This window comes from Homo sapiens, chromosome 9 (genome assembly GCF_000001405.40).
Source record: "Homo sapiens chromosome 9, GRCh38.p14 Primary Assembly".
Classification (NCBI taxonomy): Eukaryota; Metazoa; Chordata; class Mammalia; order Primates; family Hominidae; genus Homo; species Homo sapiens.
In genome coordinates, this window is record NC_000009.12 from 76,103,516 (window position 1) to 76,130,382 (window position 26,867).

Here is a 26,867-nt window from a genome sequence, read left to right on the forward strand (position 1 = left end):
GGTCCAATCAGAACAAGTAATGAAATGTGAAATACTAGGACATAATTGCTTAGGGTGAGAAAAAGTGATGGTTCATCTTAGTGGAGGCTGTCTAAACCTGAACAGTACCCACCGCTTGTCATCAAAGGATGATGACATCCCTAACATAGTGGAGTCCAAAAAACCATCTGCTACTGATCCTGAGAGACGCTGAAAATCTAATTTGCTGATCAGGACAGCTTTGATCTGGCTCAGGGCCTGGTGTCCTTTCCAGTTTCCATCACTCTGATGGGCACAAATGATATTTTCTTGAGCAATCTGAGAAGTTCTTTGGAGAAAAATTCTGTTTCTGATTTGTGTAGTGAATTGGGGGGATTTGGAGCATGCAAGATGTGCCATCAGGATTTAAACCAAATTCTGAGACATTATTTAAAGTGGAATCTAAAGTGAAAGTGCTTGCATGTAGAATCTCTGTGTTCCCCACCCTATGTAGTGGGCCGACTGTTGAATGCAACTTGCCTTTAAATTACACTGTCAGATCCTATATACATGTGTTGTGATTAATGGGGATATTCCATGTGGTTCCAGTTTTCATAACGTCATTTTTCTTCAAGATTGCCTGCTCTTTGGTGGCCTTTGCCTTTTATTTCTAAAGATAGACACAAAAACTCCGATGCTGTGGCTTCTCTTAATGACGAAAACCCTGCCTTAGATCTTTCCAGTAATTTACACCTAAATATTGCCACCTCTGATAGTAACTTCCTCTTGAAATGACCCAGCTGGAATTTCCATTTCAAGCAGGATGAGAAGGGAGTGGGGATGTTTTTGTTTCTTTTCTCCCCGTTCCTTTTAACTTTACCCCTTTCCATCACCTTTCTCCTCCACTCCATCCAGTCCTACTCACCAGTCAAGTTTCATTTAAAGTGGTTGAAAAAAATTATAACACAGTGGGGATTTGGAATTACACAGATGTGCCGACATTAATAGCATTTAACACTTCATTGGTGTTTATATATAAATGTACTAAGTAGCTTTATATTAAAGCATAAGTTGTATGCCTAGATACCTTGTCACTATGCAGACGAAGCATATTACTATTGCAAATGCAAGATCATAAAATTTTGATCGTTCACATTTGAGGTTGGCTGAAGATGGTTATTTATTAGACTCAAGTGCTACACACACTTGGAGTGTTTATTCTGGATTTGTTTCTGTGCATTGAAAATGTCTGGTGCGGCTGAAGAATAAGCAAGGAGAGCCAAGTGGGAAAATATCATGAAAAATCTTGAATCCAGGCACAAGTCATTGAAAAAAAATAAAACTTGGACAAAGGAATGTGACCATGGGTGAGATAAAATAGGAAGAATGCAGGCAAGGCCGTCTCAACAACAGCAGATCTGGACACCTGGAAACAAGCTACTTCTGGTGTGTTCATGCATTGACTTAGGGACCAGGGCTTTGGAAAATCAGGCTGCAAATTCACCCATAATTTCAAATGAGGCAGCAGTTCCTTTTAACAATCCAGCAATTCCTCTTCTGGAATTACCGATTTGAAAGAACTGAAAACAGGGTCTCAGAGAGATTGCGGCACCCCCATGTGCATGTTCAGCCTTCTTCACAATAGCTGAGAGGTAGAAGCAACCCATGTGTCCATCAACAGATGAATGGATGAAGAAAATGTGGCATAATGGAATATACTCAGCCTTATAAAGTAAAGAAATCCTGTCATATGGTACAATATGGATAAACCTTGAGGACATTATGCTACATGAGATAATCCTGTTTTGAGAAGACAGATACTGTGTGATTCCACTTACATGAGGTATGTAGAGGAATCAAACACATAGCAGTAGAAAGAAGAACGGTGGTTGCCAGGGGGCAAGGGGAGGGAGAGTGAGGAACTGTTCAGTGGTTACAGAGTTTGAGTTCTGCAAGATGAAAAAGCCTAGTGATATTGTACAAGCTTGTACATATATGGTTAGCAACATTGTACTGTACGCATAAAAATTGTTCAGAGGGTAATTGTATGTTATATGTTTTTTAACACAATAAAAAAATACCTGTTTAAACTCAGCAATGAAAAGCCCAGACAGTTTCTTAACATAAAAGTGGATAGGGCCCTATTTACCCAAACATCCTGCAAGCATCACATGTCGAGGTTCAGTAGATGGCTTCAGGGTTCTTGCACACCATTCATTCATTCAGGAAAACGTAGTGAAAGGTTTGACTCCTTCCCCCACCACCATATCTATGTAGTTCTATAGATCTTTGTTCATTCTTTCACTCCTTTTATATCAGTACCCACACCTATCTAGTACAGATAATCTGGTAATGTTAGAGTTGTCAAAAGGAACAAAGAAAGGATAGTAAGAACTTATGGTCTCATGTGAAACTAAATCAGCCAGAATGCCTATCTAGATCCATGAGAGGTCATAAAAGAGTCTACTTAGACATATTCATGTGACATAGAATAAACTTCTAAGTGAGAGTCTGTCTCTAAGGAGCTATACAGCACTTTGTTCCTGTGAAGATCAAGTTTCTTTCCAAACCAAATTTAACTAATTTTCACACTCCTCTTGAAGGAAGCACTTTGAAGGAGAGGCCTTTGTTTTCAGCTGCCTGGATCCCCCTTCACCTTTCTGGGACCTTTCATGACCGTTTTCCTATCTGTAATATATGGTAATATACTTGCCTTGATGCGAAAGACAGATTTACTAATAGCCTTCCAATAACTTCAATGAGACCACTAACTCCTCTCACAGACTTCTATACTCCCCCAGAGGTGATACTGTCCCAAAGAGGGCAAAAAATGGATTCTTGTCCAAGAGGGAGGATTTAAAAAATCTTAGAGCTATTAGAGTGGTTTCCAGAATCTTATTCCATAGTATTAAAGGAGAAGTTAAATTTAATGTATTTTTTCCATAGTGAGAAAATAATGAAACAAAGGTTGAGAAACATTGCCTTTGCTGGATGGTAATATTATTCCGTCACAGCTGAAGTGAACTGGATTTAAGCCAAGAGGATAAAAATGACTTAGTTCTCACATTTTGATTAAAAAATAAAATGGAGAAATAACTAATTTTCTCTAATATACAAGCTTACACTTAGTGCTGTAATTGCATATCAAGTACACTGGCTTCAGCCTTATTTTTAGTATCCATGTTATATCTTTGAGGAAGTCTTGGTTCATCCGTGCAACATTTCTATTGATTCTAGAAACAGGTCCACAACCAAAGGTTCTTTCTACAGCAGAGCATACTTTTGGCTTGAAATCTGTGGTTCCCCAAGGTAACAGTTCTAGGCTGCAGGGACCATGTACTTTTATTCTGTATGTTGCCAATGCCTGCTCAGTGTCTGGATTTGATACAATGTGCTTGATTATTTTAAAATGTTGAGGCAAGGAAAGAACTTCAGTTTTAACCAGAACTGGCACTAGGGAGAAGCAAGCAAGATGCTTACAGAGCAGAATTTAAGGAGGTATTTGCATGATCTTTATGTTTTCATCCATAAGCTCACCCTGGTTTTGACCCTGGTTTGAACAGAAATGGAGTTCAGTTTCCAAACACTTCCCTTTTCAGAGTTGATCTACACAGTCAATTCTCTGGAAGTGATATGATTTACAGGCGTGTAGGAACAAGGAATTTAAAACAAGTATTTAACATATACCCCCATTCTATTTTTATGAGTATATTTCTTTCTACTTGCAGGTGACTCACATTGGCCTCAGAAATCTAAACTTTTCACTTTGTTTTCCAGATCACTACAGATCTGAGGCAGCGTTGCACGGACAACCACACTGGGACGTCAGCCTCAGCCCCCATGGCTGCAGGCATCATTGCGCTGGCCCTGGAAGCCAAGTAAGCCTTGATCTCTATATGTCTTCAATGGTGACAACCCCTGATCTCAGGGAAAACGTACCCCTTCCCTTGTATAGGACCCCTAGCATGACAACCTAGAATATAATCTTCCCAATCCCACCTTTAAAACTTCAAAGGTTTGGGCTTTTTAAAAAAAATTCCCCTATATTAAGAAGAAGATTAGGTTTTTGGTTTTACATGCTTAAAAAATCAAACTGTGTAATTACTTTATTATGGAGTCATAGCACATGCATGCCAGTTGGCTCCAACTCTCTTGCCTTGTTGAGGTTTTTATTCTAGTCTGGGAATGTTCCTGAGCGTCCCAGAGAGGTTAGGTCTGCCCATTTCTGGTCTGTTTCTCTGAAGCATGACTAGGCAGCTCCGATTCCACGACAATAGCACAGTCACAGACTGGCTCTGCAGAATAGAATATGCCAGGGACGAGGACAACCCATTTATATCAAATCCTGTTCAGTATAGTCAAATTCTATGTCAAAAAGATTACTGTGAAAGACCCCTTTAGGCTATTTGTAAATAAATAGGTCCTCATCTCTTTTTTCTCTAAGAACAAATAGGTTAATTTGCCTTAACGTTTTGAAAACCTAATAATACAGATCTAATATCTCTTGTCCTCAATTTTAAAATCCTAAATGCCAGGAAAACTGAACGTTCTTTTGCAAATTTAACACTAGAATTCATTTTTTGGCAAAGTTTGCCATAAACTCATTTGAGGCTATTTACAGTATTATTTATAACATTTATTGTGAAATATTCATGTATTTGATTGTGAAGTGCTGGCTCAGACCCCGCTGGAGATTTTGTATCATGTATGTTATAGGCATCATCTCTGAAAAAATTTTGAATTCCAAACATGTCTTGTCCAATTTTAGAATAGGGATTGAAGGCCTGTTCTCTGAGGTTCTCCCTGCAGGAGGATCATAAGAAAAAGGAACTGAACTAATGATATAAGCGATTTTCTAAAAATAGCCCTGCACCTCTGCCCTAGGGAGGAAGGGAAAGGCCCATTCATCTAGCTGCACCCTGAAGTAGAGCGATAGCCAGTGACAGAGAAGGAATACAAGGATAATGAAGAGGCTCAGGGATTACAATAAGAACCGTGTGGCCGGGCGCGGTGGCTTATGCCTGTAATCCCAGCACTTTGGGAGGCCAAGGCGGGTGGATCACGAGGTCAAGAGATCGAGACTATCCTGGCCAACATGGTGAAACCCCTTCTCTTCTAAAAATACAAAAATTAGTTCGGTGTGGTGGTGGGCACCTGTAGTCCCAGCTACTGGGGAGGCTGAGGCAGGGAAATCGCTTGCACCCAGTAGGCGGAGGTTGCAGTGAGCCGAGATCGCCCCACTGCACTCCAGCCTGGTGACAGAGCCAAGACTCCATCTCAAGAAAAGAAAAGAATCATGCTAGTTCATTCTCAGGACACAGGTAGTTTCCCAGCATTCACAGCTGCCCCTCTGTAAGACGGAGAGCCTATGTTAAGGCAGCTGGACCTGAATATAACGTGGATACAGCAAATTGCTAAGTCATGTGTTGGACTGAAACCGGGGGAAGGACATGGGCTCTGGATATGGTGCCCTGTCTCTGGGTGGCCTCTTGCCCAAGCCTGGAGATTGAGAGATATCCAAGCTCCCATGAATATTTGGATTTCTTTCTTTTTGACGAGGTTAAATATGAAGTCATTTTCAACAAATTACATCTTTTAAGGTGTTAAAAGTTTGGGTTTAGCAAGGAACTGGCACTTATCCTATTAAATTCTCACTTTACAACTTTTCACTAAAGTGTTCTGGCAGCGGAAGTCTCAATTAAGTGTCTGTGTTTTTAATTTGGTGAACTCTACCCAGGATTTTTGAAAAATATATTGTTTTTATTCTGAAATTCTAGGTTGTTTCTCTGGAATATGTTTCTGTCCACAAAATATTAAAAGAAAAAACATTAGGAATTCCTCTACCATGCTCCCCCTCAAAGGCTATCTCAAACTAAAACTTAGCAACCTGATACTATAACTATTGCTTCGTAGAATTAGGTGATACTCAGCTCTTTGAGATATTACTGTAACACTATTATTTTTTTAAAAAAAAAACAGTTCTTTTAATCACGATTTAAGCTGAAATGCAAAAATCTTGCTTTATGCCTCAAATAACCTAAGATAAGGTCACTTTGGACTGCATAACACATTGAAAGACTACAATTGTTTTTTTTTTTTTTTTCTCTTTTGCGTTTTGAGCATTTTTAAAGATCTATTTTTGACACAACTGTGATGAGTAGAAGGAGGTTCCTAAGATACAGGCTACCTGGAAAATGCACTGTGTTTTAAGATGTTAACAGTCCACTCTAATTGTGGGGCCAAAATGGATGATGAACTATCTGATAAACTCAGAAAAAACAAACCTTTTTTTGTAACTCCATTGGTTTGTTGTACAGCTCAATCTTTGCCTGTAAAGTGAAGCTGAAAATCACGGGAAAGACGTGTGAGTACTAAAAGGGTGGGTCAGATATTGATATTAAATTAGCATCAATAAGCATCGGGCCTCCAGCTTAATGTGAAACATATCTAAAACTAAGAAATTGAAGAGAGGAGCTCCAGTAACAGTGCATTAAGGCTGCAGTTGCTCTAAAACTAAACCTAATCCTTGTATATGTGCCTCACTCATTTACCCAGCCCCACCCCTTGCAATCTCCTCTTACACTATTGCTTCTCAACAGCCCTTGAACCTTGGTATTTTGAGATTCAGCCTTTACTAACACAAGTTGAGGAGCAAGATCTACAAGATACGCTCTTTTAAGAAGAGAGGAGAGAAAGCCACAGCTCTAGGCAGAGTTATGACTCAGGACACTGCCCTACTCGCTGGGTATGCATGGCCTGCCAGGGTTCATTCAGTAACTGGATATGCTGAGCCTTTGAATGAAAAGCTGCAAGAGTCTGCCAGTCCCTATTTGAACTGCATGTCCTAGCTATCCCTGTACTGTCAGGAGAAATTTATTGTTTCTCTGAATATCACCAGATTACTGTATTTACTCAGTCATAGGAACATTAGAGAAAACTAGGTCCTGAGCTTTTCGCCAGCCTCTCTTCCTTACATTCCAGATGTCTGCCTGCATGGGTAGGACTGTGGTTCATTCTGTGATGCTGCTTCTACCATTGGCCTCTCTGCCATTCAAAAACCTTCCCAGGAAACTAAGGGAAAAGAAAACAAATACATCCGGTAGTCCTAGCTACTCAGGGGGCTGAGGCAGGAGGATCCCTTGAGCCCAGGAGTTCAAGGCTGCAGTGAGCTATGATCACACCATTGCACTACAGCCCAGGCAACAGAATGAGACCTTATCTCAAAAAAAAAGGTTGTGGGGGAGAAAGAAAAAGAAGTGGAATGAAATACAAAACATAGAAACAGATAAACTTAAAAGTATCCAGATATCTTTTCCAAACATAACAAGTTTGATCATGAAATAACTTTGCTATGGCCAGGAACAGTGGCTCACGCCTATAATCCCAGCACTTTGGGAGACTGAGGCAGGAGGATCACCTGAGGTCAGGAGTTTGAGACCAGCCTGCCGACTTGGCAAAACCCATCTCTACTAAACATATAAAAATTAGCCAGGCGTGGTAGCATGCGCCCATAGTCCCAGCTACTTAGGAAGTTGAGGCAAGAGAATTGTTCGAACCCAGGAGGCAGAGGTTGCACTGAACTGAGATCATGCTGCTATACCCCAGACTGGGTGACAGAGCAAGTCTCTGTCTCAAAACAAAAAAAAAAGTAAAGAAAAGAAAAAAGAGAAATAACTTTGCTGTAACAGCTAGTACGACTCCCAGGCCATCCTTTTTCTACAGAATGTATAAGAATATGTGTTGCAACAAATTCCACTCTAATATGCTCGCAGATACTTGAATGAAATTGTTCTGCTCCCAAGACTAGAAGAATTCTCAGTTCCTCTGAAAATCTTTCTCCTTTACCTTTTTTTCCTGGGTTGGAGCCTCTTTGGTTTGGGTTGTGTTAAGCTCTACAGCCACCTTTGACAGTCTCATCATGAGTCTTGCCTTTCTGCTAAAGTGAGAGATTTCCTCCTTGTTCTCAAAGATGCTTCTAAAAATTATGGACGATTTTAGAATAAGAAAAAATACTTTAATCTTAAAAGAGAGGGGAGAAACAATTTTTTGTGATGTGGTACCCTCAGAACATTTTTATTGGTTCAGAATGTTTAATAGTATGATTTTTTTTCTGGATTTTTTTTGGTAACTTTCTGGTGTTTCAGCTAAATGAATAGGGAACATGTAACCAGTGATTATAGGATATCATTTGGGCGATTGCTGCTTAAAATGATGTCTTTTTACATAGCCTAACTCAAAAAGTTCAAATAAAATGAGTATGCAAGGAAGCAGGTTTATTAAATGAAAAACCAAAATGAAAGATGGCTGTACTAATTTTAGCTTAGCAACCTGGCAGAACACCTTATGTTTGAAAAGTGTTTTGCATCTAGGTCCTAGTATATGTTCCCAGTGCTATAGATCTATCAGGGGGAAAAAAATAAAAGAGCTTGCTGTTAAATGATGTTTTCTATAAAATTGTTTATAAAATAAAGTCAAAATAACTAACATTCATGAAAGTACAGAGTGCTCAGAATAATAAGTTGTACTGAAAGTTTTCCTCACCCATCTGCAATTATTAGCAATGAAAAGCTTATTTTAGTGGAATATTTCATATGTAACAATATCAGCATCAACTCAGAAAATACAAAAATTAAGTTCATCAAAGAAACCTTTCTGCTTCTAATTGCAAAGGGTCTTTCATTGGAAAATTGAAGAATATATGTTCAGTAATCAAGAAATGTTACACTATACAGTGAATGGTAAATAAAGGGGACTGAGTCAGGTTGAAACTTCTGAAATTATCTAAAACTTCCTAAAAGGGTATTGGTATAAAGAATCTCGTACAAATTCTTGCTTTAAATGACCGCAAAGCCTTTTTCTTACATTTCATATCTCAGAGGCCACAAGAATACCCTGCTGTGAGAAAACCCAATATATCTAGATCTAAATTTAGAAAATAAATTAAACTAACAGCTGCTCTTCTACAGTAGAAATACACCTGGTGCATATTGAACATTAGCTGCCTCTGGTATCTTATATATACACAGACATATACACATTCACATGTTTCTAGGTAGGCTCACCTACTTTCTCCTTATTACTTATCTTTTCCCTCCTATTGCAAATTAAATTTAAATTCCTTGAGAGTAAGGATTATATCTTATCTTTATTTATGAGTATATAACAAATATATTGAACACTACAAAAAAATTAAAGCATCATACTAGGCACTAAGTTACTCAGGACATAATTCAAATATGTATAAAATATTATATATCACTTGCTTTCAGGGGATTTTATATTCTCATTAGGGAAGCAAATGTACACTAACAGATATATGCAAATTATTTAAGGAAGTCAATGAAATCGTTCTGGGGGAAGGGTTGTAGGGGGTGCAGGACTTGGATGAAAATAAAAATGCCCAGCTTTGATGATTCAAATTGGAACATTGGTTCCATAGAAATTTGTATCCTCCACGACACCTAAGCATAATGTTTTGAACAAGGTCCATTCTCAACAAATATTAAATTAATTCGTCTAGTCCAACCTTACCTTTTGTACAATGGAACTGAGTCCTAGAGAAGTTCAATTGCTCAATTAGTTACTTTTACCGTCCATATCCTTTAGTTGATATTCATTAGTGACTTCTTTCTCCCATACTGCCTCAACTCGTCTCTCATCCTGTTGATTTATCATTTGCTAGAAGTGGACCTCACCTGGCTAAAATAAAGACATGAATGTTATTCCCTCTCTCACCTTCCAAGGGAATCCCCTCTACCTTTTGTCTTTGGAGGAAGGGATCATTCGAGACAAGGAAAGGTCAAAGTGTGAGAAGTTAAAGGAGTGTTGAGCCAAAGGATGATTCACACCGTATGCTGTTGATTTCACAAATCACATCTTGAAAATTTTCTCAGGAAATTAAACTGACCATCTGCATTTCTTGTAAACCTAAAAAGTCCGTCTATATAAATCTTACATAATTCAGATGAATCAACCACTCTATGTCTTTGTTTCACCTTTCATTATAATCTCTCTTACCTACATGTTTCCAGCGTTGGAAAATTGTAGGGAAATGACCAGAATATTTGGGATACAGTGACTGTGAGAAGTTAATATGTGGGACAGTCGAGAAGGGTTCTGGAGTTTTAAACAAGCCAGCTCTGAGTTGAAGTACTCACTGGGGCGAGGGGTGCTTCATATTTTTAGAACTGAGCACTGTTAAGGGAGGCCACATAGGAAGGATAGACATAAACATTTCTTAATATTGGGGTTAGCATCTTAGTACTGATATCCTGTAAACTAGTCTTATCATCTGTGTATTTTTTTAAATTAAAAACACATTTTAGTATAAAATGTCTCATTAAAAATTTTCCCGAGGGCCACATTCAACTCTATGAGATGCTGCAGTGGGCAGGGAGCACAAGTGTATTTGCTTATTGAGGTAAAATTGCAGAGGGCATACCAAGCTTTTCCTTTTAAGAGAGTTTTATTTATTTCAATTAGAACTTAGAAAGTACTTGCACAGAGAGAAATACAAGCATATGTGCCCTGATTCCACACAGTTACAAGGGTAAAGAAGCAGGTATTCCACACACCCTTCCTTTCATATACTCTTAGAGTTTTTTTGTGTATTGGAGTGTTGTATGTTGGGCTTAAAATTTTGCTGAAATTTCTGGTATGAATGCTTGGGGTATACAGCCTGAAGAGGGTGAAGAGAATTAAAAGAAAACAAGGGAGGAGAGCTGAAAAGGTTTATAAGGTAAAAACAATGCACATTTCGACTTGAGGCCTAGCGGACAGAGAAGGGATGTACTGTCCTGAACTATTCCCTATAGTGAAATAATTGTAACCAGACCCAAAGAGCAGTTACCACGGGCCTTCTGCCAGGACTGTGCATGAAAATAGCTTTGTTATGTCTACATATACACAGACAATACACTCTGTCCTCTAGTCCTTCTCAAGTTCAAATTATGTAGAAGCCAACTTTTCCTGGACTCAACTTTGTACCTTAACTAATGGTTTCAAAAACTACAGCTTCCAGAGATGTCTATTATAACTGGAAAAGCCCTGGTCAACAGGCTCATTCACCTTGGATTATCTTGAAATGTAGCCAGTGTGTTCCAACTCCTTCCCTATGTGAGAAAACTAAGAAACATGTTGGATAGTTGAGTTGCTCAGAAACTGAACTGAAGACAGAAAAGTTCTTAGGAGACTGTTACCTGCCTCTTTTTCCTTAGCTGTATTTTGAAAAATGTTATTAGTCACTAAAAACATTTTATTCTTATTACTATAATAATAAAGATTGCTTTTTCCAAAGAATAGTTGTCAGTCCTGTTGCAATCACCAGACCTTTTCCTTGTATAGCTGATCAAGTATCATTTTCAAGTGTCAAATGTTGGAAATGTCTCATGTTATAAATATCCAGTTTGTGCTGGAGCAAGGCAAGTAAACCATTTGGGAAGCCAGTGTAGTAGTGCAGGAGAGATTAGGGTAGCCTGGTCAAGGTGATGGGAATGGGGACAGAGAGAAGTGGGTAGATTTGATGTATATTTTGTAGGTATAGCCAACAGGTAATGAATTACATATGTGCCTTTGGGAAAAGCAAAAAAATCAAGATCTAGTTTCTTTGCTAAACTCAGGTAAATTGTGATATCATCTATGGAAATAGATACCCTTTATTCTCCCCATGGGATTCTGGAGATTAGAAGCTGCATAAAAATCCAGTTGTACAAGAAAGTCTCTGGGCCTACAGATTTTGCACCAAGACCTGTAGCAAATTTCTCTGGCAATTATTGACTGTCCTTGGGTACACCAGCCTCCCCATCAGCTAATTAATCTGCAAAAAGTGCCTACCCGGAGATCATGATTGCTATAAGTGACTGAGACAGTTCCCATTTTAAAAAAGTAAAAGAAAACAGAGAATATTATTTACATTATAAATTGCTCATCTGCTTCTGTGTCTTTTAATTTAAACAGAGTGTTAGCAAATTAACCTTTATGCAGTTACCCGATAAGATTGCTTAGAAACTCCACTGATGTATATTAGTGAGTTTACAAGAAATATGTGAGATTTAGTATTAAATTTAGTCTCTTGAGGGTTTGTGGATTTTACTCAATGCCAGGGAATTTTTGTTCTGATAGTGCCTATGGTAACACCCCAAATACCATCAAATATGATTTTTCTTGCTAAGAAAAAGAGAAGATGACTTTTTTAGGGTCCATTAGTTTCACATCATAGCCTGCTACTTAATCACTTTAGTCAAAGCGTATTAAAAGACTCATTGCATAATATATCATTGGATGGCTTCATCAAATATTGCTGTTTTTGTATTTGAAAATTCTCAGATTATATTCCTCTACTCTATATTTAAACATAGTTCAAACTTAATCTGTTTATGTGCCAAGTTTTCTTGGGCTGAGTTTTGAATTGATCTAGCCTATGGCTACATTGTCTTGCCCTATAATTTTTTACTTCCAGGACATTTTTGTCACATAAAAGTTAAAATTGTTTGGTGTCATTTGTTCAGAAGAGCCTAATTGTTCCTAGTGACACTGGAATCTAGTTTTTGTATTAACTGATACCAACATTCTTTTTTTCCTCTGTTTAAAAATTTATAATCATAATGCATTTTGCCATCAATAGGAGAGAAAAGTAAATAAGGAAAATAAAAATGACAGATTGAAAGCATGTCATTTTACTAACATGTAAGATTTTATTCATCCTGACATCAACAAGATGATTATGACATCTGATGTGTTGAAAGCTCCAAGCAGCACATTCATAGTGAAATAAACTGTAATACCTGGAATAGAACATGTAACACAAAAAGAAAGACATTGGATGTTTATAAGATTGCATTATTTCTTACCATCTTAGATTAAGTTTTCATTTCTCTATTCATAATTCTGAACCTTATTGAGTAAGCACCATATGTGTGACTAAGATGAAGTAAAAGTTTATGTTGTTTGCATATCACAGAAAACGCAATAAGTCTGTGACACCTGGTAGTATCATCCCTACCAGTAAAGACTGTAGTACATCAGACAGTGACATCCTGTCTGTGACCCAAAAGATTCTACTTGCCATTGTTCCCCCTTGAGTGTGGAGATGCTGCATAGTGCAAAAAGATAAAATTAAGAGATAAAATGGTGGAAAAAAACGGCAGTCAGCCTTCAATGAATGCTTTATGCCAAATACTGAGCTGAGTGTTTATATTGGTAATCTCATTTTATCCTCAAAGCAGTGCTCTAAGGTAGGCATTATCACCATATTTCCTATGTGGAAAATGAGGGTTAGGAATTCACACAGGTGATAGGTGTGGAAGGTGAATACAAGGTAATGTGACACCAGAACCCACCATTCTACCATATCACCTTTCTTTGTTAAGTACTGTAACGGGACATGGTTAATTACAAATGGGCACTATAAACCGTAAAGGGAATGAATGAGTAAATGGAGAGAAGGAACTTTCCCTACAGTTATTCAAAAGTATGGATAGGTATCTATTCAGGTATCTGTAGTTAGTGAGATATCGCGCCAACAAGTTTAAACTCTAAATCTTGATTGATTCATTCAGGAAATATTTATTGAGTCATGCTTGTTACCATAATTTCCTTATTTTGAAACAAACTTTTTTTTTCACATTTCTGAACCTGTAATACATCTTACAAGTCATAGTTGCAATGTTTAGCTAGTTTGGTATGTGCCTGGCACCGTGCTAAGAACTAGAATACATCTATGAACAAAACATGCATGGTCCTTGCCAGAGCTGCCAGGAACAGTCAAGTAAGCTGAGCACAAATGTGTGTGAGGCCTTGAACTTGGCTCCAATAGAGCCTACATTTCAGTCAAGGGAGGCAGAGATTAAAGATAATTACATCTGGCATGAAGGAAAAAATAAAACAAAGCATTATATTGTGCTAGAGGGATTGATGGTAGGGTAAGAGTAGGAAAGGATGAATAATGGCAAATAGGGAAAAGAAGTGGCAAGGCCATCAAGGAGATGACAGCATTTTTGCTGCAACTGGAGTCATAAAAGTGATTCAACTTACACTTGGTTTTTGTGAGTTTTTACTGAGTTATTGCTTTCTGGCAACGTTAAGCACATCTTACCTTTTTCGTCTAATAGAGCTTGCAATCACAACCAAGCCTTAATAGAAGGCCAAATGATAAAGAGGAATACCTGAATGATCCATAATTTTTACATTCCTATAACAAATTTAGAAACCTGCCTGTATATGATTGAAAACAGGTTGAAAACTGGCATCACTTCACAGATTAAACTTGTTCATCTAGTCAGCAAGAATGCAGTTATGTAGTCTTCAGTGAGCACTCGAATTTATTTGAAAAACTTGGTACACAACCAGGGAATGTTGGTACGAAGGAAGAGAATTCTAGTGAGATTTAAAATAGGGAGGTGAGGTCTCTCAAGGGCTCTCAGCAGAGTCTGCTTGTCATTTAGCTATTGGAAACCTTTGCGAACAACTTGGAAGAATGTCGTAGCGAGCTTCCTGGAGAGAGTATGATACAGGAGTGATCGTATTAGTCATGCTGAATTTTTATTCATTGCTCTGAATTTAGGTGCCATTGGAATTGACATCTGATAGCCTCATTTTCCATAGCAGATGTATTCAATTCTATAATTTTCATTGTGCTAAAATTCTCAAGCATTTGGGATCCCATACCTGGAATATAAAGCAATTGTTATCAGTTTGTCTGAGGAATCGTAACATTGGAAGGTTGCCCAGAAACCATCTGGCCTGTAGAGATGCTATTCAGTGAGAGTGTTCAGGGGTCACCAGGCAAAGGTGAATAACAATGGCAATGTAGGTTATTTTTAAAACAAAGGTATATTTTTTAATTTTAAAAAATAATTTTAAAGTGACTCATTCTGATTATATATACTGTTTTTGCATGACATTTTCTTACTTGTATGAAATGATGCTATCCTTACTTAGCAATGAAAGTGATGAATCTCACTTTGATTCCCAAGTTGAAAAACAATATTCCAGTCTTTGAAATCCAAAAGATTGAGAGCCTTTTTCATCACAGTGGTGCTTGCAAGCATTCTACTGATTTCATTTGCCACTAGTATCTTAGAAGCAAATAAGTATTTATTTAATACTGACAGATACCAGGAAGAGCAATCCCATGACCATTATAATCTATTATTAGCAATAGAACCATTTTTAAAATGTAGGTGTTTATTTATATGATGTATTATTTTGATAATATCTTCAAATTAATTAATATAAATTTAAATTATATTATCATCAAAATAACACATTTTACAAAACATATATATAAATCATGCAGACATGTAAATCAAATGTCTCCCTACACAGCCAACTTTAAGCATGTTTTAAGCTTTTAGTATAACTCCTAATGCTATGATGCTAGTTCCAAATATTCTTAATATATGCATGTTTACTATAAAAAATATTGCATACTTTGTCTTTAATCTGCATTTTGCTTTCCTTTCAGATCATGTTGTTCATTTTGTTGTTCCCCTCCCATTTGTTTTTTTAAACCAACCTTTTTTTTAACCAAATAATGTTTTTTCTAACCTGCAATCAAGCAAGATTAGATTAAAGAAGGTTTCAAGTTTTTGTGGGTGCTGTCTCCATTCAGTTGTTGGAAATTAGGTGCTGAGACATTTTTGAATTGTGAGGACTAGTATTCAAATTGAATTTCAAAAGTGTGTTTCAAAGTCACTCGAAAAGATAATCTTTGAATCCTCTACTAATCACCTAATACTCTTTCATGTTCATATTTGTCTTACCTGCATATACTCAACATATTACCTTCTGGCCATAGTTACAGCAAATGTTTTTTAATTTTTCATTTGCTTTTAGGTATTGTTTATATTGTTTTGAAATAGGGAATTTTTAAATTTATTTTAAAAGTATTATTTAGTCAAATATATGTGTCCTTTATGAAATCTTCAATTATATAGGCATACCTGATCTTTTTGTACCTCCTAGAGAATTTTACATATGCTGATGAAGCTATGTATGTTTTACCCTAAATGAGTCCAGATTTACATGTGGCAAGGAATTTCCTGTACCTTAGGGGAATTCATGGACCCCAGATTAAAAAGCCTCAGGCTAGGAAGCTCTTTCCTATGTCAACATTTATTAATTAATGACTGACATTTTCATGTAGTGTTTTCTTTATTCTTTTTTGAGTTTTTAATTTTTAATATTTTTGCATGTACATAGTATGTGTATATATTTATGGGGTCCATGAGGTGCTTTGATACAGGCATGAAATGTGTAATGATCACATCATGGAGAATGGGATATCCATGACACAAGCATTTATCCTTTAAGTTACAAATAATCCAATCACTCTTTTAGTTATTTTTAAACGTACAATTAAGTTATTATTGACTATAGTCACCCTGCTGTGCCATCATTTAGTAGGTCTTATTCATTCTTTCTAACTATTATTTTTGACCTCTCCTAACCATTTCTACCTCCCCCCAGCACTTCCCATCACCACCCTTCCCAGCCTCTGGTAACCTTTCTTCTACTTTCTATATTCATAAATTCACTGGTTTTGATTTTTAGATACCATAAATCAGTGACAATATGCGATGCTGTTTTCTTGTTTTATTTTTCATCATTAAAGTTGAACCAACTAGAGTTTATTTTGTTGTCCAGTATGAGGATGTAAATTGAGTTTTTATAGGGATCCTATTTGCCCAATGTCATTTGTTAAGTAATCTATCTCCTCCAAAAGCAGTTTGTTTTGTATTCTTTTAAGTTGTTGCATTTATGAGGATCTCCTTTAGCATTTTCTGTTTTATCTTCTACCAAATCTTTAAACATTACAGAATCACTTCATATTTTAAACATTTTCTTAAGCATTCTTATTTGTTCATATTCCCAGATAAAATTTAGAACCAGTCTTTTGTGTTCCAAAAACAATCCCAGTGGCAATTTATAACAATTGTGTAAATCTTGGCTTCTTTACAAGTTTTCCCAATCAAAAAAATCTTTCTACATTGTTTAGATCTTCTTTTTATTGGCATATTAATGTATCAGACTTGTCCTTAGTTTCATAGTTTTTCAGACTTATTTTTTGGAGTAGCAAGTATTTGTTTGTTTTGCTATTACCATTATGTCTTTAACTGATTATTGCTTATCTATAACAGAGCCATTATTTTTATATGTTTTTCTTATCTCTAGGTCCTTTAACTCACATTATATTATAGCTGATTTTCTTGTTTTTTTTTCCAGAATATATTCATAGCATCTGATGATAGTAATACTTGTCTCTTTTTAATAATTTTTCATATTCTTATTGGATAGTGGTACAGATTAGTCATTATAAGTTCAGATTTTGGAGTCAAGCTAACTTCTGTTCCAATCCTGCCTCTACTATTATTTCCTGGATAGCCTTGAGCAAGTGGAAGTCGTATTTCTTAACCTTGTTTAATTGGAGTTTTTTCATCTGAAATTTGGGTCAGTAACTCGGAATCCCAGGATTGTTGCTAGGATTAAGTGAACTTAGGTATATGGAAAGTACTAAAATAAGGAAGCTGATATCATCACAGTATTATTTCTATTACATTAACCCTTCAAAAAATGTTAAATATTATGAGATAGTAAGGGTTCACACTTAGATCCTGATTTTCTATTGATTTCTTTTTTCTTTTTTACCTTCTGTTTCACTTTTTGTCAATGTTTGTGTTTCTTTTAGATGTTCTTCATAATGCGTATGCAGCGTTTTTTGTTTTGTATTATCATTAGGAATGAGATTTGGGTGTTTCCGTATCTGTTTAGATGAATATATAGTTTCTCATACTAGATTTGTTGATATGATTTATTAGAATAATACATTGTTAATATTATTCCCTGCTTATATTTATGAATCAGATTTAGTTATTTAATATGCTATTGGTTTCATTTTAGCGTGTTTTATGTCTTTGAGTTTATTTTTCTGAGATTTTCTTTTACTACCTAATGTGTGTGTATATATGTGTGTTCTATGCTATTATTACAGCAGCTAGCTAACATTAGTTGTGTACCTACAGCAGATAAATAGCATTTTCTAAAGTATACTTTTGGTATATTTCATGTAATTCTCATCTATAAGGTAACATGGGTAGTAAACGGAGAGTCAAGCTTTTAACCCACGTTGGTTTGACCTTGAAACTGGCCTGTCTCTGCAAGTTTTTGGTATCAGATGATGTTAAATTCACAAAATAAATTATGGAATTTTGCAATTTGTATTTTCTCTCCAGAGACCCTTGGGATCAGAGTTCTCGCATGTTTGAAGGAAACCATCTGGCCTCAAAGCCATTTTTAGAAGAAATCCCAGTATTTTCTAATACTATAAACATCTCTTGTATTGGTTTTTTTTTTTTTTTTTTTTTTTTTTTGAGACGGAGTCTCGCTCTGTCGCCCAGGCTGGAGTGCAGTGGCGGGATCTCGGCTCACTGCAAGCTCCGCCTCCCGGGTTCACGCCATTCTCCTGCCTCAGCCTCCCAAGTAGCAGGGACTACAGGCGCCCGCCACTACGCCCGGCTAATTTTTTGTATTTTTAGTAGAGACGGGGTTTCACCGTTTTAGCCGGGATGGTCTCGATCTCCTGACCTCGTGATCCGCCCGCCTCGGCCTCCCAAAGTGCTGGGATTACAGGCGTGAGCCACCGCGCCCGGCCTTGGTTTTTATGACTGCCTTAATATTTAGAATTTATTAGTGTTTTCTTCTTATTTTCTTGGTTAAATTTTTTATTACTGTTTTTCAAAGGTCCAGTTTTGAGATTTATCAGTAATTTTTTTTCTGTTTTTCTTTCTTTCTTTTTAAAATTTCTTTCCTGTTTTCCTCTTCATTCTTTTATGACTCTTATTGGCTGAATCATGGTTCATTTATCTTTCCTTTTATATTAATAAAACTTTTTAAAGATGTGAATTTATCTCTGAACACACTTTTGATAGACTGTTATTTTCTAATGATATTTTCACTTGCTGTTTGATAGAATGACAATTGAGTAAAGTACTGTTAAGTGTTAAACAAACTTTGTCGCTATTGAGATTTATTATTGACCTTTTTTTCACTACATTGTGTCCAGATAATAGGGTTAGATTATCAGCAACACTGGTGTTTGGTGACGTATTGTTTTTGCTTAGGGCAATTGTTGAAATTTCCTTTTGGCCCAATGTAGCTTCAACTTTTCATTACAAACTCTTAAGTTGATCTGTGAAGTCTTAAAAAAAAATGACTCTTTGTAGGACATATATTTCAATATTATTAAATTTTAACTATAATGTAAACGAATCCTATGTTTTTCTCCTGACATAAATGGACTAAATTATCTGAACACTACTGTGCTTCCATCAGTTACTTATTTTTTCTTTTTTTTTTCTTTTTTTTTTTTTTTTAATTGAGACAGAATTTTGCTCTTGTTGCCCAGGATGGAGTGTAGTGGTGCGATCTTGGCTCACTGCAACCTCCAACCTTCACCTCCCAGGTTCAAGCTATTCTCCTGTCTCAGCCTCCCGAGTAGCTGGGATTACAGGCACCCGCCACTATGCCTGGCTATTTTTATTATTACTATTTTTTGTAGAGATGGGGTTTCATCATGTTGGCCAGGCTGGTTTTGAACTCCTGACCTCAAGTGATCCGCCCACCATGGCCTCTCAAAGTGCTGGGATTACAGACGTGAGCCACTGCGCCCGGCCTACTTTTATTTTCTTAAAGTCTTTGATTCATCCATTTTGATGCACAAATGTCATGCTGTTACATCTTTATTTTAGATAGCACTTTGTCAACAAATTCAACTTTTTGTCCTTTTAAGTGTTTTTGAATCTAAAACGTTATATTGTTTGCAATGAATCCTCCCATTCATGAATCTTTGTATATGTTTTGTGCAGGGGAAAAAATCTATGTCTATTATTTAATTTTTAGTTTTCATATTTTATAGATAGTTGTAAATAAAGCCATATTTTAAAATAAATGTGTTTTGTAATAGAAGAGTTATCACCTTTGACTCCTTGCTATATAAACATGGCTTACATTTACTTTAATGCCCTCATCTACTTATTTCCCTATCTTTAATACCATAATTTGGATTTCTGCAACAGACCATTTTTGTTAATTATTTTTTATTATTTTTTATCCCCAGAAGAATTCTTTTAAAACAATTATTAAGTCTTAATTCTGTTCAATTTATTTTGGAGTCATCATTAGGTCTTTTCTAATAACAACTACATATTTTACAGTTTTAAATTTTGAGTTATTCATAAATCAAAATAAAACTTTAAATTGTTTATTTTATTTTGACCTTCAGAGTCTGTATTTGTTGATGGTCAGTTTTCTCAATCCTGCAAATATATCTTCTGTATTCACTCATGAAGGACGACAAGTCTAGTGTAAAATTCTCAGGTTTATTTCTTTTAAATCAGTTCAACTGTTTTATTATCTTCTAAAATTAGCTTTGCAGAGAAAGTCTTTAACTAGAAGTCCTGTTTTGCTTAGTTTTAGGATTTCTTTTTTCATTTGTATTGTAATGAAAACGTATATATTTTAGGACAAGTCTAGGGGATGCAACTCTTTTCATTAATATGTCCTGGAAAACATTAAGTATTTTTAGTCCACCTTGAACATTTTTAATCAGATGTGACTTTGATTAGTGGCGAAGATCACCACAGAGCTTCAGAGCCTGGGCCCTGAAGTATATGAGAAACCTGCCTTCAAATTCCTGTTCTGCTTCTTACTAGTTACACGGCTTTGAGAAAGGAAGTGAACCTTTCTAAGCCTTAGTTTCCACACCTGTAAAAGGGGAATAATAATGCTGTTTATTTCATGGGGTTGTGTGTTCATTAAGTGAAGTTATATACATAAAGCACCCAGTAAAGCATCTGGTAAATAGGAAAGACTCAGTAATTTTTAGTCCTCAGAGCAAGGTAAAGCTAATATTCTGAAGCCAGGTTTGTTTCCTGTCCTCCAAATCCATCGGCTTGTCTTCCTTGTCATCTCTTTCCTTAAAAATATGCAAGAAGTGGCCGGGTGCAGTGGCTCACACCTGTAATCCCAGCACTTTGGGAGACCGAGGCAGGCAGATCAGGAGGTCAGGAGATCACGATCGTCCCGGCCAACATGGTGAAACCCCATCTCTACTAAAATACAAAAAATTATCCGGGCATGGTGGTGTGGGCCTGTAGAACCCAGCTACTCGGGAGGCTGAGGCAGGGGAATCACTTGAACCCGGGAGGCAGAGGTTGCAGTGAGCCAAGATTCATACCACTGCACTCCAGCCTGGCGACAGAGCAAGACTCCATCTCAAAAAAAAAAAAAAAAAAAAAAAATGCAAGAAGTCGTCACATTTGTATTCCACATCAACTCAGCTTTCTATGATATCGATTCCACCTATCCATGTCAATTTACTCTTTCCTGTGCATCCTTTGCTTTTGCTAATACCACTTCATACTCCTCATAATCTTCCTTACTCTCACTCAGTTTGCTTTATTGCTTGGTTGATTCCTTTTCCCTGCACTGTGTTTTCCATAAGCTCCATATTATTGTTATTCTTCTAGTCTGGACTCTTCTCTTTTTTCTCACCACCACTTTTTCCTTTCCCTATACTCTCCTCTTACATTTCTTTTTCCTTTCTTTGTTCCCATTCTTTCCTTTGTTTAAAAAAATTATTCATTCTCAATTTAAAAAAAAAACTGGCTACAGAAAGGCTGTGGCTATGTCCTTGCTCTGCTTAGCCTCCAAGCACAGACTTACTCAAATCTGCCATTGAAGGATGGGATGAGGGATAAACCTCCCTGTCCGATTCTGAGATTCTAGCAGAGATCCCTCTGAAGTGAGAAGATCATTTCCTCCCCCTTCTGACAAAACTAGAGGCTGAACGTCCAGTCCCTACAAACACCATTAACCTGACTCTTTCCATCACGCACCCCTCCAGTCCAAGACATTGCAGGTGGCGAGGGTCAGAGCTGAGGCTCTAGAATCAGGCTGCCTGGGCCATTCTCAACTGTGGCTAATTGTATGACTTTGAGGAAGATCGTTAAACTTTCCCTGCTTTGATGTTCTTATTTTGGAAATGAAAGTAATAACAGTATTTGTCTCACAGGACTGTCATGAAGAATAGATGAAATAATGAATATAGAATACTTTTGATAGTATGTATGCCTGGCACACAGTAAGCCTTCAATACATGCCATCTACTACTCTGTACTTTTGGAGGTACATCTTTTAGGAAATTTCTTCTGTAGTAAGAAAGAGGGTTGTACAAGAAAAAAATCCACAAGTTAGCAGTCAAGATGTTGACTCAAGGCTACCAAGCTCAAGCTACCAAGTCCAAAGAAGCTCAAGGCTTCCAAGGCCAAGGTCTATGTGGGGTTTTTTGTTGTTCTTTTCCGAATGGTTGCTGCAGCTCCAATCATCATATCCACATTCCAAATAAAAGGAGAAAGGACAAAATGATGCAGGACTAGCAATCTTTATAGCAGGAAAGCAAAGTTTTCTCAGAAATGCCCAGTAGACTTTATTAGTCAGAACTCTGTCTCCTGTGTACCCCTCATTATCAGGGATTCTGGAAAGATAGCATTTTGGCATCCCAAGATATATAATAGAGGGAGACAATGAAAAAGAAAGTTAAAAATTATTTTCCTCATAGTCACATTAGCTCATAAGTTTTTTTGAAATACATCAAAATTTTTGTAATAGATTTCTGTTAGTCTTTGTTGATTTTTTCCTGCGTGTGTGTGTATGTGTGTGTGTGTGTGTGTGGTGTAATTTTTAAAGTATTTTTTGTTCCTATCGATGATGTCTAACAATTAGAAAGACTGCCAGGAATTGATACACTAAACCAGGAGTTTCTAAAATAGGCATAATAATTCAGCCATAAAAAAATGAAATCAGCTGGGCGAGGTGGCTCACGCCTACAATCCCAGCACTTTGGGAGGCTGAGGCATGTGGATCACCTGAGGTCAGGAGTTCGAGACCAGCCTGACCAACGTGGAGAAATCCCGTCTCTACTAAAAATACAAAATTAGCTAGGCGTGATGGCACATGCCTATAATCCCAGCCACTCAGGAGGCTGAGGCAGGAGAATTGCTTGAAACCAGAAGGCAGAGGTTGCAGTGAGCTGAGATCGTGCCATTGTACTCCAGCCTGGGCAACAAGAGTGAAACTCCATCTCAAAAAAAAAACCGTTTTTTACAGCAATATGGATGGACTAGAGACTGTTATCTTAAGTGAAACATGTCAGACACGGAGACAAAATACTGCATGTTCTCACTTAAAAGTGAGAGCTAAGTAATGTGTGCACATGGATGTCGAGTGTGGGATGATGGACAATGGAGGATGAGAAGTGGGAGGTGGTGAGAGGGGATTAGACGATGAGAGATTACCTAAGGGGTACAGCATACTTTATTTGGGTGATCGATTCCCTGAAAGCCTTGGTTTCATGACTATGCAATATATGCACATAACAAAATTACACTTGTACCCCATAAGTTTATACAAATTTTTCTTTAAAAATGGGCATAATAACATTTACTTCAAATTCTAGAACCCAAAATGCTTATTTTCATTAAAGTTGACAGTGAAAACTGATCATTGAAAAGCTTCATTTTAAAATATACTTCAATAAACATCTAGAGAAGCATCATTTTAGTTCTTTTACTCAACAGGAAAAAAATGGGAGAAAACAGCTATAAAGTAATTTAGAATCATAATAATAATGGCGATGCAGTCAATGATTTCTGTTGCCTCTCCAGGGGTTTAACTACTGGTTTTTGAGGTGAGAACTCTGCAAATCTCTGAACTATGTAGAAAAGTATCAAAAGCACTTCAGTCTGGCAATTTGGCTAGGCAAATAAGTATACTTGTAGTCCTCATTCTAACATTCGATTCTCTAAAGCACTCTGATATCAAACCAAAGAACATCTCACTATCCTCCACAATTACATCAATGGCTAACCATCAAGAGAGAAGATCTCCCACATGTAGAGTAGATTTATTGACAATCCTAGTGGGTCCAAAAATTTCACTCCCCAGCCAATTAAATTGCCATCTACACTATGGGGTTGTGAAAACCAGATCTTTTTGACAAATCTTAGTAGCATTGTTGTTTCACTAAGCAGAAATATACCAAGGTGTTAAAAATGCTGTTTTGTTCATCTGTTAGTGAAACTAAAAAACATATTACTAAAGTTTAGGAACATTGCAGAAAACTTAGCCTAATTAAATACAGATTCATCAAATGCTGGTGTAAACTCAGCAAAAGTAGTCCTTCTGAGTTATAATGGTACAGTAGGTTCCTAATCTCAATAAATCATCATGACGCTTGTCTTTGGTAGCCTATGATATGCCAAGCTCTTTATTTCCATTACCTCAAATTCTTGCAGCCATCTTGTGGAGTCAGCGTTATTTTCTCCACATTGCGGCTGAGGAAACAGAGACTTTCAAGAGGTTCAGTAAATTGTCCAGTGTTACAGAACTATCAGGTAGGAGATCATGATTCACCCTAGGTCTTCCTGACTCTGAAGCGTAATTTACACCATTCTCGTGTGATTAAGAGGCTGTAGAATGCAAAACAAAATTTATTATTATTTTGAATGAGAAATAGAAATGAGGGGGGTAACCATGTCTTCCTGCAGGACTTAGTCTGTGGGCCTAGAACTGCATAATTTATACATGCTAAGTCCTGGGACAGCCCACAAAATGAGCAGAAAAGGGACAGTGAGCAAGAGTTTCTCACAGGTTGAGGGGGATACATTTAGGAACACTCACACTGTCACATTTTGCCTACTCTGAACAGTTTTCAAGCTTGGGGTAAAAATGAAGGCCAGAACTAGATTCTGGGTTATGGGTTTGAAGAAAAAGAGGCCTTAAGGATTATATTCAGGGCACAATTGTTGGAGGGAGTTAAGTGTACAGGGAGACCTGGTGGAAAGCTTCATAATTGCGATTTGATTTCAATGCATGTGATCTCAAATGACTGACCCTTCCTCCTCAAGTTCTATTTTGTAAGAGCTTATGTAGCAAAGTATTTCAAGGAAGTGATGATTGAGCTTGCAAACAAAATATTATATTTTCATAGGGGCTGCAAAAAACATAATTTTTGTCTTTTACATGCAGTAAGTATTTGCAGTGATAAGCCAGGATTTCTAAGGAAAAGACACCTCAGCTTCAATGACAAAATTTTTCTTTATAAATTAGGGGCTATCTTCTCTTAAGTGTGCTTAGAATCCAAATTTACCTTTGGTTTAGAGTAAATCCAGGGGATTAGAATATTTTCACAATAAAACTTTGTGTGGTCCTGCTTTTCTTTCATTTTTTCCACTTTGGTTCAGGTGTGGAGGAATCATAAGTGGGTATTTGGGTAATACCAATACAACTCACATTTCTAAATCTTGAGGTATTATTAACTGTATTTTCCAATACCACAAACCAATTTTAGGCCTGAAACTTTTGAATTATTGTAGAACACAAAACAAAACAAAGCAAAACAAATGCACCCCCAGTGGCAGATACTCCTGCTCGCAGTGGGACTGACAATCTGATGATCCTTTCGGGCTCTTCATTACCTAACAAAAGAGGATTGTTTTTCTTTGTTGGACGGTCAGTATTTTATTCTTGAATTACCACTTTCATACACTAGCTGCAATCAGAGTAATGTTTTTACCTATCTCAGCAGGCTTTAAATACTTTCTGCTTCATCTTTGTGTCTCCAGCTCACCATGAATCTGTTCCCGTAACTGCCGATTTCTTTTAGCATTGGTACAGTGACATTAATTTTCTGACTGCTTGTTTCTATTTCTATTTTACATAATCTTTAAAAAAAGTGGTTTTATTTTGGATTGAAGGAGACTAGTTTCATCTTGAATTGGTTTTGAACGTTTAGGAAGTTGGATATTTGCGATGCTGATTGATCATGCTATTTTTCCCATTGATCTGGGCCTCATCATTTCATTAGACAGAATTACTCTTTTATTTTAGGAAACAGTTTCATTATCTAGACTAGCTGTTGCTCCTCTTATTGATAAATTCTCTTTCTGTAATAAGATGTGTATCTGTTGTCTTTTTTATCAGCTGCCCCTAAATTACAATGAGGATGTATTTGGGTGGTGGGTTGAGCGGGAGGTTGGTTATTTTTTTCTCCTTAATAAGTGCAGGTGAGTCAGTCACCCAAGATTTCAAATTGGTCCTTGTTTTTAAAGACCACCAGACACAGATGTATTTCTAGCACTCACACATGAATTTCCCAGAATTATCTGGGAAAACCCTTTGGTGAAGGATTTTTTTCTTTTTTAATTGAAGTGCTAGTGGTTGCACTTAGCCCAACAAGAAGCACTACACAAAATGTCTCTCTTAGGAGATGTCCTGCTTCTTCTAAACCTTGTGTTGGGCCTGTGAAATACTCTGAACTGCTCAGAGTAAAAATGTAATGCAAATACTGGGTAGTGATAGTGTCATTAATTATGCTGTTTTTGCAGCTGAAAACTAGAAAACTAGAAGTGTTTAAGGTGAGGTTCAGCTGAGATTCACTGAACGGAGAAGAGTCACGTAGCCTGGCTGCGAACCACATCCAAGTGTGGCCATGGCAGGGGAGATGACAAGTTCATAACAATAATGGTATGCAATAATACACTGATGTTATGACATACGGTATACATGTAAACTATTATAAAAATCATATGATTTTCCTGGTGTGTTATTTTTCTGTTTACCTTTGAAAGAATGGGTAAAAGGCCTTTGGAACCTGCATAACAAATTAAGACTCAGGAATCCTCTGAATGCTATGGTAAACAAAAATCAACAGAGTCAAGAAAGAGAGTGTGTGTACAAAGTGTGTGTAACCATGAGGACGCGACGTGCCATACTTGGCTTTTTGATCCATTTGTCAAAGAACTTCCTGACAAATAGATGTGTGTCTCTGCTTCACCTTTGTGGATCCGTTTGGA

The 26,867-nt window shown here is 36.9% G+C and overlaps 1 protein-coding gene across 8 annotated transcripts in view, besides 1 other annotated feature; it reads left to right on the top strand.

The window, feature by feature from the left end:
* The window catches only part of PCSK5 (proprotein convertase subtilisin/kexin type 5), a 473,167-nt gene that overhangs the window by 213,707 nt on the left and 232,593 nt on the right, over positions 1-26,867 (top strand). For all 8 annotated transcript variants that reach the window (NR_120409.2, XM_047423454.1, NM_001372043.1 and 5 more), the window contains exon 9: positions 3,736-3,836. Coding sequence is in view for 7 of the 8 variants with exons in the window: in XM_047423454.1 (XP_047279410.1) it covers positions 3,736-3,836 (101 nt within the window). In the remaining variant the exon portion in view is untranslated. The remainder of the gene's footprint in view (positions 1-3,735; positions 3,837-26,867) is intronic.
* Positions 21,832-22,059: a silencer, noted in NCBI's record as "fragment chr9:78740263-78740490 (GRCh37/hg19 assembly coordinates)". NCBI's record gives its function as "represses an EF-1alpha promoter that drives an FKBP-Casp9 reporter gene in an ReSE screen in HepG2 liver carcinoma cells {active_cell/tissue: HepG2}" and the evidence as "EXISTENCE:reporter gene assay evidence [ECO:0000049][PMID:32094911]".